This window comes from Homo sapiens, chromosome 18 (assembly GCF_000001405.40).
Source record: "Homo sapiens chromosome 18, GRCh38.p14 Primary Assembly".
NCBI classification, from domain to species: domain Eukaryota; kingdom Metazoa; phylum Chordata; class Mammalia; order Primates; family Hominidae; genus Homo; species Homo sapiens.
The window spans coordinates 23,646,513-23,662,182 of NC_000018.10; the positions used below are offsets into that span (position 1 = coordinate 23,646,513).

Here is a 15,670-nt window from a genome sequence, read left to right on the forward strand (position 1 = left end):
CTTCCATTACCTTCAGAAGCACAGTCCAAATGAACCATAGTTACTGCATTTTAAGGCAGCGATGATATATTGCTCTCATTTTATGATTCCTATTAAATGATTCCTGAGCCAAAACATTGCTATTAATGCAAAAGAAAAATTAAATGGTACCATCTGATTTTCCATATTTAAAAGTCTTCATCTTCAAAATGATTCAGGTAAAGATGTATGGCACCAGGTGAAATGAGAGACTACAGAGTTGAGAGTCAGGAGCTGTGGGGGCTAAACCCAGGTAGCTGTCACTGACCAACAGTGTAACCTGGGCAAGTTGCTTACAATTACTTGGACTCATTTATTTCATTTTTAAAATGAGCGGTTGGATGGGATGATCACCAAAGTCTGTCCCAGCTTTAAGATTCAAGGACCTGAGGTGTACCATGTGATATGGACCCTTCTAATTGAAGTGGGCATTTGCAGTTTGACTTACAGTTGTTTTCAAGCACTTGAAATTGTAATCTTAGCTACCACCTCTGCATATTCAGCAACCTGCTGCTCAGAAGTGGATGATGAGAGAGACAGGTGACTCTGCACACAGGGGAGGCTCATTAGGTATAGGGTAATTAAGTGAATTTTGGAGGCTTCGTGTTATTTTCATCTACGGGATTTTGTAGGAAGGCAGTATTGCTGAGTAGTCACTGACAGTATGATCTTGGGCACATCATGTAACCCTTAAGTCTCATTCTCTTCATCTGAAATATGGGGGAATAATAAAAGTATCCACCTGATTAAATTACTGAATGAGATAAGTCAGGCAATATGGTTAACATAGTAATGGTAGATATTCGTTCAGTAAGTGTTAGATATTAAAATAACATTACGATAATTCAATGTTAGGCTGTCATCTGGCTTTTGTTGACTTCTGTCAATGGCCATGCTAGTTTTGTGAAAGTCTTGTTGGCTTTATGTAAAAAGTATCGGTAAAGTAACGAAGTAACGAAGTAACAAAAAGCTAATGGCTTCTTAGTGGTGCTCTATGGTATTTTTTTTTTTTGAGTCGAAGTCTCGCCTCCCAGGCTGGAGTGGGATGGCACGATCTCAGCTCACTGCAACCCCCGCCTCCCAGGTTCAAGTGATTCTCTTGCCTCAGCCTCCTGAGTAGCTGGGATTACAGGCGCCTGCCACCACGCCCAGCTAATTTTTGTATTTTTAGTAGAGGCGGGTTTCTCCGTGTTGGCCACGGTGACAACTGGTGTTTCTGCCCTACAGTTTTCCCACTGTGATGTAGGAACCAGCCCCGTAAAACCCAAATAAGACCAAGATGGCCAGTTCACAGATGCCCAAGACTTGACAGCAGCCCGAGTTCTGGCAAGGAACAGATGGTACATTCAGATTGGGATAATTGGAAGAAAGTGTAATAAAGAGACTATTAAGCTGAGGCCTGGGTGTAGGGCATCTACAAAGAACAGCACAGTACTGGGATCTAGGAACAGTGGGGGTCCATGACCAGCTGAGGCCTGAAGGTGCCAGGGGGGAAGGGAGCGGCTCCCAGGATGCAGAGAACAGTGGGGCGCTGCTGCCAGACAGAAACAGGGAGGGCGGTGGGCTCCCTGATGTCCCTCTCCTCCTACCCTCTGACTCCTGCAGATGCTCCTATGGGCCAAACACAACTGGAGGCCAGAGGAAAGCGAGTCTGCTGGAGCAGTACATACAATTCAGACTGTGGGACTAAGAGCGAGAAGGGTGTGGAGTGGGTCTGGAGGTGTAACCAAAGATATCCCGTAAACCAAAGATATCCTACTGTGATGCCCCCACGGGGCCAACTGGGGCAAACTGCTATTTCACTTTTGGGCTTGTGGTAGATTTCAAATTTGTACAATAAAAGCTGGAAATGGCACACCCTGTTTTCAGGAAAACAAAGCTCCTTTGAAACATTTTTATTCAAATCCTAAAATCAAAACATCATTGCTCGCTCCCTTTCCTCATTGGAGGTCCTCTTGGTCCCAGAGATGAGAAGTCTTGCTGAGGACAGAAAAACGATTGCCTCTAGCTGGGGATGGAAAAGCTCTCTAAGTGGTATCTGCCAGTGGGCAGTAGTATCTATTTTTGTTTCCCTTTTTAAATTGCCAATTAGTGTATTTATGTTTTCAAGAGGTAATGAAAGGATAAAATCCTGGGGGAGGCTTCAATTTTTGTTTTCTCATCCTTGTAGAAGAAACATAACGCCCACATCCATGGCAGCCCACTTGTGCTCTAAATTATCTCCATCTTTTCATGGAAGTGGTTGGCTTGAATTCTTTCACTAAACAGGCTTTTCTTCTTGTAATCTGCCAATTCTGATTCCCAGTGAAGTGCCTCTTTCCCTATTGTGGTTGCCTTCTGTTTTATGCATTTCATTGTTTCCTTTTCTTTCTGACTTCCCCCAGCATGTTTTTAAGTTCACCACAGTACCTTGGATGTTTTAAAAAGGATAAAGCAAGCAAACACATGAAAAAGTAAATAAGCATTGTAAAGGGGAATGTATTCCTGAGGTGCTCCTGTGCCCACAGAGGGCAATGGTGCATGCTGGGCATGCATCTACCGAACCACCGTACGCTGTCTCTGCAGTCCACGTCCACCCGGCCGCTGTTCAACAGCAGCTTCAGCAGCGCCAGGTTTCCTCTCCTGGCTGCCCAGAATGCAGCATTGGCAAGTGGAGTTTCCTTCTGCAAGAACAAAATGAAACAGGATCTTAAAATTGATGTCAGTTAACATGACTGCTGCTATGCACATAGATAATAACATTCAGAAAGAAGAACATCCAGATGTGTTGCATCATTTGAAAGATTGATCCTCCAGCAATAGACAACTGTAATAACAGAATGAACTCTGTTGGATTCCAGACACCTGAGCCACCACATGGCTATGAAGAGCAGTGTTGTTGATAATCCAGCACTATTAATAACCTATTTCCCACTAATGTTCTCACTTTCCTGCCTCTGTTGTGTTTTTGTTCACCCAGTTTCCTTTTTGCTTGAAATGAATTTTCCTCCATCCTTCAAGGCCAAGGCTCTGCTCGAATGCTATTTCCTCCCAGAAACACTCCAAATCTTTCCTCACCTCTAAGTGGGGCAAAATTTCTCCCAATTCTGACCTCTCAAAAGAGTTTACCTGCCCGTTTCCTAAGCCCTCAATGCTTTCTATCTGATTCCAACTACCTGTGTGAATGTTTCACTTTTCCTCCACCTAATTTTCTTTTTTTGTTTGTTTGTTTTGTTTTTGAGATGGAGTCTCACTCTGTCGCCAGGCTGGAGTGCAGTGGTGTGATCTTGGCTCACTGCAACCTCCCCTTCCTGGGTTCAAGTGATTCTCCTGCCTCAGCCTTCTGAGTAGCTGGGACTACAGGCGTGCGCCACCATGCCCAGCTAATTTTTGTATTTTTAGTAGAGACAGAGTTTCACCACGTTGGCCAGGATGGTCTTGTACTCTTGACCTCGTGATCCTCCCGCCTTGGCCTCCCAAAGTGCTGGGATTACAGGTGTGAGCCACCGTGCCCGGCCCCTCCATCTAATTTTCTTTGCTTCAGCTGGAACTTGCCAGAGGTTTGACTTGAGAACAAGGAACTTAGGGCAAATAATGCCATTACATGTCTTCATATGGATCCTTCATTCCACTGTTGGATCGTTTTGTTTGTTTGAGACAGGGACTCACTCTGCTGCCCAGGCTGGAGTGCAGTAGCATAGTTATGACTCACTGCAGCCTCGACCTCTCAGGCTCAAGCCATCCTCCCACCTCAGCATCCTGAGTAGCTGAGACCCCAGGCGCATGCCACCATGCCCGGCTAATTATTTTATTTTTTGTAGAGAGGTTCTCGCTGTGTGGCCTAGGCTGGTCTCGAACTCCTGGGCTCAAGCAATCTACCCACCTCAGCCTCCCAAAGTGCTGGGATTACAGGCGTGAGCCACTGCACTGGGCCTACTGGGTTATTTTAAAGCTACAAAGTTAATTTTGGAGCCATACCTATGGAAAGCATGGAAGTGGAAAACAGGTCTTCTAAATGGGTGGCAGAGCTGACTGTAGTACAATCTTCTTCTCTAAAATAATTGATATGAGTTTGTAGAGAACAGTCGACGAGAGGGAAGAACTGGCTTTGGGACCAGACAGCTCACCCCAGCCCTGCACAAGTAAGTTGGCCCTTGGGAATCTCAGTTTCCTCTTGCTTAGATGGAGATCACAGTACCTGCCTTGAAGTTGACGGTATTAAATGATGCTGATTTTTGCCTAATATTGTACCCAACACACCATAAATGCTGATTAAGTGCCAGTTTCCTTTCCTCTATTTACTTTTCTTTACGAAGTCAGAATCAATAGGCAAAATTAAATCCAGAGTATTGGTACTAATAAAGAATTTTGATGGTCTTAGGAAATTTTATAAAAGTATTCACATTGTTTAATGAAAGCATTTTTTGTGAGTGGGTTTAAAACATCTACGCGACTCAAAAGGCCTTTTGCGTAATATGCCTTTTAAATATATTGATATCGTATTAAATACAGTGCTTTTTCTAAGCTCAAAAGAAAATACCAACAATTTCAGCTACTCAACAAGCCCTCTAAAATGAAAGGACAGTGGCAGCAGTATTTGTGGGTGTGAGGATTTCATTTCAGAAGTCCTTCAGCACATACACAGGCGTACGCCCTTGTACATACCTGAATGAGAGAATGGCAGGGTGGAGAGTGATAAGCTAACAGCAAACATACTTTGAATAGTTTCCTGGCTCATTTAGAAGGGAAAAAAATCACCTCCAATTTCAGATGAACAATTTGCCTTTCCTGACCGTGTAAATTTTGCTATCCTGGAGTTTTCAAGGCAAACTGCAACCATGGTTTTCACACCAGTGTTGCAGCTTAGGCACCAGGCTGGGTCTAATTTGTTCCAGCTGTCAGTAACTAGGCAAAGAAATGGCAAGGGAGGTTTGACCTGTATAATGAATCATGAAACAAAGCCTTTTAACAAAGAGATTGCACAAGGCCAAAATGAAGTCTGGTAGGGTGAATCAGGCAGACAATGTAATATGCACCAGGGAACAGCTCTGCTAGCTTTTCCTGAAAGGTAAACACACAAGAATGATAGACTGTAATTCATTTTCAGGGACTCTGTCATTTCACTTTAACCCCAAATACCTTCAAAAGACCATCTGCAAACAGCAAGTGTCTATTGTCATAACAAGATCTCTAGTCGGGGCCTCTCCTCCCTTTAGGATGGTCTTGGGGATTCCTCTCCAGCTGGGCTGGCCATCCTGGTTTTCTATAAGGTTCTAGAAACCAAGCTTTGTGAAAAGCTATAAATATTTCATTTTCCTTCAAGGGCTTAATTTACTAAGAGGCAGCAACAGTGGGTATGGGAAGATTAGACAGACCAGAGACATTTTAAGGAGCTAAACTCCACAGCCTTGGTCTGTGATTGTATGTGCAGGAGAGGAGGGAATAGGAAAGTGGATTGACTCCTGATTTCTGGTTCCAGTGCCTGGCTGATCTTGGTGCCAATTCTTGAAGATTGGAAACACCGTACGAAGGACAGGCTTTGGAAAAAAATGATGAGTTCAGGGTTGGACATGGTGGGTTTCAAGTGCCTATGGGGCATCTAGGTGGCAATGTCTAGCAAAGAAATGGGCAGGTGCTCCTGTCACCCTATGGCCGGCACATTTACTGGAGGTCAGGAATCTTGAGCTAATGCTCACTCAGTGCAAAGTGCTTACTCTGGACCACGTGGCGTATCTTCTGCATACACTAGCTTATTTCATCCTCATCCTTGCTCAGTGAAGTGGGCACTGGGACGACCCCATTTTACAGATGAGGAAAGTGAGAAATGGCAAGTCAGGCTTCAGCAACAGGCAGTCTCTTGCTTGAGGCTGCCCTTTAACTCCCCATCACACTGTTCTGCCTCCTGTGGAATTCTTCTGTGGATAGCAAGGAGTAAGGCAGCAGTGACCCCCGGTGACCTCCTTCCTATCCTCCATCCCAAGCTCCTCTCCAGCTAAGATGGAAAGTCCCCAACGTTCCTTCTGTTTGGGGTCTATACACATCACATTCCCTGGATAACTTCCAAATCTCCTCTCAGTATGATATGCACACAATCATAAATGGTGTGGCGAGAGATGGGGCCAGTCCTCTAGCCTTTAAAGGAGACAGTGCACGTGAAAATACATCACAGAAACTGTAAAGCACTTTACCAAGCATGCTATTACTATTTCACCTCTTTCTTGATTTTTCTGATCTCTACAATAAAACCAAGGAGCTTCTCTCAGGCTTGCTGGTTCCAACCTTATAAGTAACAGCAAGGACAACTAAGTTGAGATCTTGCTCTGTATCAGGCAGTGTGCTAAACAATTTACTGCTTTAACTCATTTAATTCCAGGAGCAGCCCCATGAGGTAGTACAGTCATGTAATATATAATGATAGGCTGCATAAATGATAGTGGCCCTGTAAGATTATGATACCATTTTTTTACTGTACTTTTCTACATTTACATATGTTTAGATATGCAAATGCTCACCACTGTGTAACAATTGCCTACAGTATTCCATTCAGGAGCATGCTATAGAGTTTTGTCACCCAGGAGCAATAGGCTACACCATAGAGCCTAGATGTGCAGTCGGCTACACTCTCTATGTCTGTAGTAAGTGCACTCTATGATGTTTGCGCAATGAAAGAATAACCTAATGTGCATTTCTCAGAATGTGTCCTTGTTGTTAAGTAATGTATGACTGAGATAATTATTCCCATTTTTTCTTTTTATTTAAGATGGATAATCTCACTCTGTCACCCAGGCTGGAGTGCAGTGCCATGATCTCGGCTCACTGTAACCTCCGTCTCCTGGGTTCAAGCGATTCTTCTGCCTCAGCCTCCTGAGTAGCTGGGATTACAGGCACCTGCCACTACGCCCGGCTAATTTTTGTATTATTAGTAGAGATGGGTTTTCACCATATTGGCCAGGCTGATCTCGAACTCCTGACCTCGTGATCCGCCCATCTTGGCCTCCCAAAGTGCTAGGATTACAGGCGTGAGCCACCGCACCTGGCCTAGTCCCATTTTTTCTTTTATTTTTTACTTTTTAAAGGAAGGCCCCTCCTCTCCCCTCTCCTTCCCTTCCCTCTTCTCCCCTCCCCTCCCCTCTTTTATATGGAGTCTCGATCCGTTGCCCAGGCTGGAGTGCAGTGGCGCAATCTGGGCTCACTGCAACCATGCCTGACACTGACCATGCCTGGCTAATTTTTGTATTTTTGGTAGAGCTAGCGTTTTGCCACATTGGCCAGACTGATCTCATACTCCTGGCCTCAAGTAATCCACTTGCCTCAGCCTCCCAAAGTGCTGAGATTACAGGCATGAGCCACCATGCCTGGCCTATTATTCTTATTTTTAAGATGAGGAAATTGAGCATAGGAATGAGTTAGTCAAGGTCACGCAGTAAGGATCTTGGCTCATCCAAATAACAGAGCCGGGATTTAAGTCCAAGTTTGGGCTGGGTGCGGTGTCTCACGCCTGTAATCTCAGCACTTTGGGAGGCCCAGGCGGGCAGATCATGAGGTCGAGAGATCAAAACCATCCCAGCCAACATGGTGAAACTCCATCTCTACTAAAAATACAAAAATTAGCTGGGCACGGTGGCACGCACCTGTAGTCCCAGCTACTTGAGAGGCTGAGGCAGGAGAATTGCTTGAATCCGGGAGGCGGAGGTTGCAGTGAGCCAAGATCATGCCACTGCACTCCAGCCTGGTGACAGAGCGAGACTCTGTTTCCCCAGCCTCCACAAAAAATAAATAAATAAATAAATAAATAAATAAATAAATAAATAAATAAATCCAAGTCTGGACTGGACACGGTGGCTCACGCCTGTAATCCCAAGCACTTTAGGAGGCTGAGGTAGGCAGATCACTTGAGCTCAGGAGTTCGAGACCAGTCTGGCCAACAACGTGAAACCCTGTTTCTACTAAAAATACAAAAATTAGCTGGGTGTGACGGTCCACACGTGTAATCCCAGCTACTCGGGAGGCTGCGGCAAGGAATTGCTTGAACCTGGGAGGTGGAGGTTGCAGTGAACCAAGATGGCGCCACTGCACTCCAACCTGGGTGACAGAGCAAGACTCTGTCTCAAAAAAAAAAAAAAAAAAAAAAAAGTCTGATAGTCTGTTTGGGTCCAGAGTCTGAGATCTTACATTTTACACCTTGTAGAAAATTGAGTGCAAGCTTCCACATTTGTCATATTTTCTTCTCTCCCTACTTGCCCCCTTCCATTTACTGTCAGAATTTTGGCTAATACACTGCTCATCTGTACACTTCCAGAAATTGTACAGGAAGGAAGGGGAGAGGAAACACAGAGGAAAATTTATTTGTACAGAACTGGAATTCTAATTAAAAGCTAAGAGGGGGTAGAAATTTAAACTATTAGTTTAAAAAAGTTTAGAGTAATGTGGACTTCAATCGTACACTTATTAATTCAATCAAGAGAATATTAGCTCTACTCAATAATGAATTTCTATGATATTAGAGGTGACATAAAATAAAGATGTAGTGATGGATTGCAAAGCTATATGCAGAAAGATGTTTTTGAGACATCCATTGTCCCACTTTGTGCTAAGTATTTACAATTTTCAGAATGCTTAACAAACATCAAGCCTGTAAATCAAAAATAAAATTTTAAGCCCCCCCACTGACTGAGTGAACCCCCCTCTTGGCCCAGGGGATCCCAAAGAAAACCTGAAAAGTTCAGGCCATGACAGGAAGGGAGGTCTGATATATCTCATTACACTTCACTCCCTTTGGAACTTAGGCGCAACGATTAACCAGCATTAATATTAAAATATAGTTCATAAGATTCACAAAACAGACTCTTTGTAGAATAAGATACCCACTCCAACCTGGCTGGGGTATAGTATCATATGACAGCAGACCCTGAAGGAAATATGAAATTCTTTTTTTTAATTTTTTTTATTTTTTGAGACGGAGTCTCACTCTGTCACCCAGGCTGGAGTGCAGTGGCGTGATCTCGACTCACTGCAAGCTCTGCCTCCCGGGTTCAAGCGATTCTCCTGCCTTAGCCTCCTGAGTAGCTGGAATTACAGGCACTTGCCACAACGCCTGGCTAATTTTCGTACTTTTTAGTAGAGATGGGGTTTCACTGTATTAGCCATATTGGCCAGAATGGTCTTGAACTCCTGACCTCAGGTGATCTACCCGCCTCAGCCTCCCAAAGTGCTGGGATTACAGGCGTGAGCCACCGTGCCTGGCCTCCTTTTACTTTAAAAAATAATTCTCTGAGTTTCGTTTTACTTTAAAAGATAATTCTGGCCGGGCGCGGTGGCTCACGCCTGTAATCCCAGCACTTTGGGAGGCCGAGGCGGGCGGATCACAAGGTCAGGAGATCGAGACCATCCCGGCTAAAACGGTGAAACCCCGTCTCTACTAAAAATACAAAAAATTAGCCGGGCGTAGTGGTGGGCGCCTGTAGTCCCAGCTACTCGGGAGGCTGAGGCAGGAGAATGGCGTGAACCCGGGAGGCGGAGCTTGCAGTGAGCCGAGATCCCGCCACTGCACTCCAGCCTGGGCGACAGAGCGAGACTCCGTCTCAAAAAAAAAAAAAAAAAAGATAATTCTAACAAACATGTGTCTGTGTTCTCAAGCAGAAGAGATTAGGAGTTGCCAGTTGTTAAAGGAAGTTTGCTGGAGGCAAAGTGGTACCAGTGAGAAGTCACTGATAACAGCTTGACGGAAAAACCATCAAAAGTAGACGCAAAGGAGTCATGTAGCTCAGATGCAAGCAGCCCTACATACATTGATTCTGAATCATCAAGAAGAGCCTAAATTGTGACTTATAATGCTCTATTTATTCTTCCACAGACTCGCCTAACAAACCAGGGCCTTTTTACACGTAGGCTTTGGAGACCCAGAGCCTAGGGCCTATGAGTCTTTCAGGAGCCTATGAAAATGAAAAAGTTAATCTGTGTTTCCCAAATCAAAGTTAATAAATATTCAATTAAATAGCTACAAAACATAACATCCTGTCAACTTTATTAACTGCTAAATTTGGTATTCATAAAATACTGATGCCACATGAAAATCATTTGTAGGTCTGATTTGCTCGCTGCATGAGTTACTGACCAACTATGACAACTGCAGAAAAATGGACAAAAGGTAAATTAAATGAGTAACTTACAGCTAAATCATTTAAAAAGCAGTGTCACAAAATCCTTTCAAAAATTTTACAATAAAAGGTCTCTTTTATTATTGTGGCCGTGGGTGCATTTTAATATGTTTGATAGGATGGGAGGTGGATAGAAGAATGTTGCTAATGCAAATCTCAGACTGGCCTGGGACTCTGCTCTGGACAGACCTTCCCTCTGTGCCTTCTGGAAGTCCATTTCACAGTAAATCAACTCCTCTTCATCCTTTGCCTAGCGCAGAGCACTCCCTCTCTCCCTGCCTCAACCTCCCCAGTGCCTGCTCCCGGTGGAAGCAAGGCCTTCTCCCACATCAGCACTGCAGTGAATAGGCCCACCTGGCTTCCAGGCCACTGCCCCTCCATCAGGGGTGCAAATCTCTGCTCCTTCAAGACTCAGGTCGTCCCACCTTCCCAACCTCTACCTCACCTCACCTGGCAGTTGTCACCTCCTTATCGTTCACCACCTGATCGTTCTTCCTTATTCATGGAAAACGTTGGCACCTGGCTTGCCAGCCTCCTTTCTACCTACCCCAAATCCTGACTTCATCCTGGGCTTCACTTTACAAAACATCCACACTCAACCTCACCTCCTTTCCCTTTAGCCCAACGGGAGAGGTTTCCTTCTGCCATTCTAGCTAATTCCACAGCGAATGGAGCCCAGCTCAGGCTCACCGCCCTCAACTCCCTGAGAAATTCAGTCACTCAGCAAAATCATCCCCAAGCCTTCTCCTCATTCCCTATTATGATTTAAAAATACTTAAAAAAATTGAGATATAATCTACATACATAAAATTCATCCTTTCAAAGCATACAATCCAGTGGGTTTTGGTGCAATCATAAGGTTGCACAACCATCACCACTATCTATTCCAGATTATCTACCCATCAACAATCACTCGCCATCCCCTCCTCTTCCCCAGCCCCTGGCAACCACTAATCGACTTTCTGTCTCTATGGATTTGCCGATTTTGGACATTGCATATAAATGGAATCATACAATATATGGCATTCTGTGTCTGGTTTCCTTCACTGAATATGTTTTTAAGTTTCATCTATGTTGTAGCATGCATTAGTGCTTCATTCCTTTTTATGGCTGAATGATAGTCCATTGTACAGATTACCATGTTATGGACTAAATGCTTGTGTTCCTCCCCAAATTCATATGCTGAAGCCCTAACCACCAATGTCTTGCGAGCCCAATCCCCTGCCCGAGTTGGTCCAGAAAGCAGGACCCACCACTCAGTGAGTTCAGAAGGCAAAGCACTGAACCAAAGAGGATTATTCTCAAACTTTAAGTTCTAATAATATTTGCCTTGCTAGGTATTGGACTTGCTTGTGACCTGTCATTCCTTTCTTCCAATTTCTCCCTTTTGGGGTGGAAACATGTATATCCTATGCCTGTCCCACTGTCGTATTTTAGAACCACAAAACTTGTTTGAGGACTAGGCATGGTGGCTCACACCTGTAATCCCAACACTTTGGGAGGCCAAAGCAGGAGGATTGCTTGAGTCCAGGAGTCTGAGATCAGCCTGGGCAACACAGGGAGACCCCTATCTCTACAAAAAATAAAAAATATTAGCCAGGCATGGTGGTGCAAGCCTGTAGTCCCAGCTACTCGGGAGACTGAGGCAGGAGGATCGCTTGAGCCCAGGAGGTCAAGGCTGTAGTGAATCGTGATTGTGCCAGCCTGGGCAGGCGACAGAGTGAGACCCTGTCTCAAAACAAAAGCAAAAACAAAAACAAAAAACTTGTGTGATTTCACAGGCTCACAGCTAGAGAAGAATTTCACTTGGGATGAATCATACCTTGAGTCTTACCCAATATCTGATTTAGATAGTTAGATGAGACTGTGGATTTTAGAGTTGATGCTGGAACTAGCTAAAACTTTGGGGACTGTTGGGATGGAATGAATATATGTTGCACGCAAGACAGACATGCCAGGAGGACAGGGGCTGAGGACTGAATGTTTGCATCCCCCCAAAAATTCATGTGTTCAAGTCCTAATGCCCAGTGTAATGATTTTAGGAGGAGCAGTCTTCGGGAGTCAATTAAGTTTAAAAGAGGTTGTGTAGGTATAGCCCCCATGATGGAATTAATGTCCTTAAAAGAATTAGAGACACCAGGGCTTTCTCTCTTGGTCATGTGAGGAAACGGGGCATGCACAGGTGGCCATCTGTAAGTCAGGAAAAGTGCCCTCACCAGCCACCTTGATCTCAAGACTTCCTAGCTCCAGAACTGTGAGAAATAAATGTCTGTTGTTTAAGCCTCCCTATCTATGGTATTTATAATATAAAACACTTTTTTTTTGTTTGTTTTGAGACAGAGTCTCACTCTGTCACCCAGGCTGGAATGCAGTGGTATGATCTTGGCTCACTGCAACCTCTGTCTCTAGGGTTCAAGTGATTTTCCTGCCTCAGCCTCCCCAGTAGCTGGGATTACAGGCACCTGCCATGACGTCCAGCTAATTTTTGTATTTTTAGTAGAGACGGGGTTTCACCACGTTGGCCAGGCTGGTCTTAAACTCCCGACTTCAGGTGATCCGCCACAGCTTCCCAAAGTGCTGGGATTACAGGGATGAGCCACTGTGCCTGGCCCACATTTTGTTTTTATCATCAGTTTATGGACATTTGGATTGTTTCCACTTTCTGACTATTATGAATACTATTGCTATGGATCTTTATGTTCAAGTTTTTGTGTGAACACGTTTCCATTTCTCTTGGGTATATTCCTAGTAGTGAAATTGCTGGGTCATGTGGTAACTCTATATTTAACTTTTTGAGGCTGGGTGCGGTGGCTTATGCCTGTAATCCCAGCACTTTGGAAGTCTGAAGCAGGTGAATCACGAGGTCAAGAGATCGAGACCATCCTGGCCAACATGGTGAAACCCGGTCTCTACTAAAAATACAAAAATTAGCTGGGCATGGTGGCGCATGCCTGTAGTCTCAGTGACTCAGGAGGCTGAGGCAGGAGAATTGCTTGAACCCGGGAGGCAGAGGTTGCGGTGAGCTGAGATCGTGCCACTGTACTCCAGCCTGATGACAGAGTGAGACTCCATCTCAAAAAAGACAAAAAAAAAAACAAAAAACAAACAAACAAAAAAAACTTTTTGAAGAAAGACAAGCATGGTTTTAAAAATGACTGCATCGGCCAGGCGCGGTGGCCCACGCCTATAATCCCAGCACTCTGGGAGCCCGAGGCAGGCAGATTACCTGAGGTCAGGAGTTCAAGACCAGCCTGGCCAACATGGTGAAACCCCGTCTCTACTAAAAATGCAAAAATTAGCCGGGCGTGGTGGCACATGCCTGTAATCCCAGCTACTCGGGGGGCTGAGGCAGGAGAATTGCTTGAGCCCGGGAGGCAGAAGTTGCAGTGAGCTGAGATCATGCCATTGCACTCCAGCCTGGCTGACAGAGTGAGACTCTGTCTCAAAAAAATAAATAAAATAAATAAATAAAAATGACTGCATCACTTCATACTCCTACCAGCAATGCATGCAGATTCAATTTCTCCACATCCTTGCCAACATTCGTCATTGTCTTGCTGATTAAAGCCATCCTAGCGGGTATGAAGTGGTATCTCATTACAGTTTTGTATTTGCATTTCCAAGACCATGGCTAATAATGTTAAGCATCTTTTCAGGTGCTTACGGGCCATTTGTAAACTTCTTGGGAGAAATGTCTATTCATATGTCCACTTTAAAATTAGGCTTTATTTGTCTTTTTATTGTTGAAGTGCCTATCATCATTTAAAGATGCTCAAGTCTCTACCATTTTAAAGCAAACAAACACTTGGTCAATTCCAGATCCTTGCTGCAGCCACTGCCTTTTAAAAAGAATCTCTGGGTTGGGTGCCGTGGCTCATGCCTCTAATCCCAGCACTTTGGGAGGCTGAGGCGGGCGATCACGTGAGGTCAGGAGTTCGAGACCAGGCTGGCCAACATGGCGAAACCCCGTCTCTACTAAAATTACAAAAAATTAGCTGGGCTTGGTGTCAGGCACCTGTAATCCCAGCTACTCAGGAGGCTGAGCCAGGAGAATCGCTTGAACCCGAGAGGCAGAGGTTGCAGTGAGCCAAGATTGCGCCACTGCACTCTAGCCTGGGTGACAAGAGCAAGACTTTGTCCAAACAAACAAACAAACTAACAAAAATCTGTTTCTTGCAGAATTTCTTGAAAGAGTTCTCCACACTTGTGGATTCTACCCACTCTCTTTCAAGCTATTGCAATCTGGCTCCTGATCCTAACACCACTGAAAGTGCTCTTGGCAAGGTCACCAGTGCCTATTCCGTCACTAAATCCAATGGACTTTTCAATTCTTTGTTTATTTGATTTCCCTGTGGCATTAATAAACATCAAGGTCCTCTTCATCTTTGTTGAAAGATTAGAGATGCTTGGTGTAAGTGACAGCACATGCTTCTGAGTTTTCTCATTCGTCTCTGGCTGCTCTTTCTCAAATCTTCTTCAAGATTTTGTCCTCAGTCCTCTTATTTTCCACCTTTATATGGTTCCACTGGGCAATCATGTTCATTCCCATGGGTGCCTACTTAACACTGCTGACTCCTAAATCTCATCTCTAGCTGCTGCCCAGACTTGCCTCCTGGGATCGAGGAGAGTATATCTGTCTAATCAACATCTCTGCTTGGATTCCCATCTATCCTCAAAATTTATCCCAAACCAAACGTTTTATCTTTATCTCTCTTGCCTTCCCTACTGAATTATGCCGATTTAAAACTTTTAAAGTCGGCCGGGCGTAGTGGCTCACGCCTTTAACCCCAGCACTTTGGGAGGCCAAGGAGGGTGGATCACCTGAGGTCAGGAGTTCGAGACCAGCCTCGCCAACATGGCAGAACCCCGTCTCTACTAAAAATACGAAAAAATTAGCTGGGCATGGTGGCGCACGCCTGTAATCCCAGCTACTCTGGAGGGTAAGGAAGGAGAAATAGCTTGAACCCGGGAGGCGGAAGTTGCAGTGAGCTGAGATCACACCATTGCACTCCAGCCTGGGCAACAAGAGCAAAACTCCGTCTCAGGAAAAAAAACTTTAAAGTCATTCACATTCGTCTGCTTCGTTCCATTCTCACCACCTATGCACTGGTCCAGTACCATTTCTTAAAAAGATGACAACATCTTCCAGCTCCAACCCTCTTCTCCAAACCTAGCCAGAGATCTTTGCAACATGCACATCTCGCCATGTCACTCCTCTGCTTACATGAGCTATTGTCGGCAACGGGATTACAGTGGCTTAGGAGTCAGACACACTTGGGTTTCAGTCTTAACACCATAACTTATTGGCTGCAAAACCGTGGGTGAGTTAATTTCTCTATATCTTAGTTTTCTCATTTGAAAAAAAAAAAAAAAAGAGCCACGAAGAGCACCTCCCACAGGTCTCCCCCAGGGTTGAGACCATACACACCATGTCCTTGGTTCAGAGTCAGGCACATTTGAACTGTTTAATACATTTTAACTGCTATTTTTATTAAACCCTTTCAATCGAGGCAAAT

General features: G+C 44.6%; 1 protein-coding gene across 11 annotated transcripts in view; it reads right to left on the minus strand.

Moving 5' to 3' along the window:
* The window catches only part of ANKRD29 (ankyrin repeat domain 29), a 63,986-nt gene that overhangs the window by 47,587 nt on the left and 729 nt on the right, over nucleotides 1-15,670 (minus strand). For 8 of the 11 annotated variants that reach the window (XM_017025561.2, XM_011525830.3, NM_001308238.2 and 5 more), the window contains exon 2: nucleotides 2,571-2,681. In XM_017025561.2, the coding sequence (XP_016881050.1) occupies nucleotides 2,571-2,681 (111 nt within the window). Of the gene's footprint in view, nucleotide 1; nucleotides 2,682-15,670 lie in introns of those variants that run through there. The other 3 variants (XM_047437305.1, XM_011525831.4, XM_011525832.4) reach the window with 1 other exon arrangement.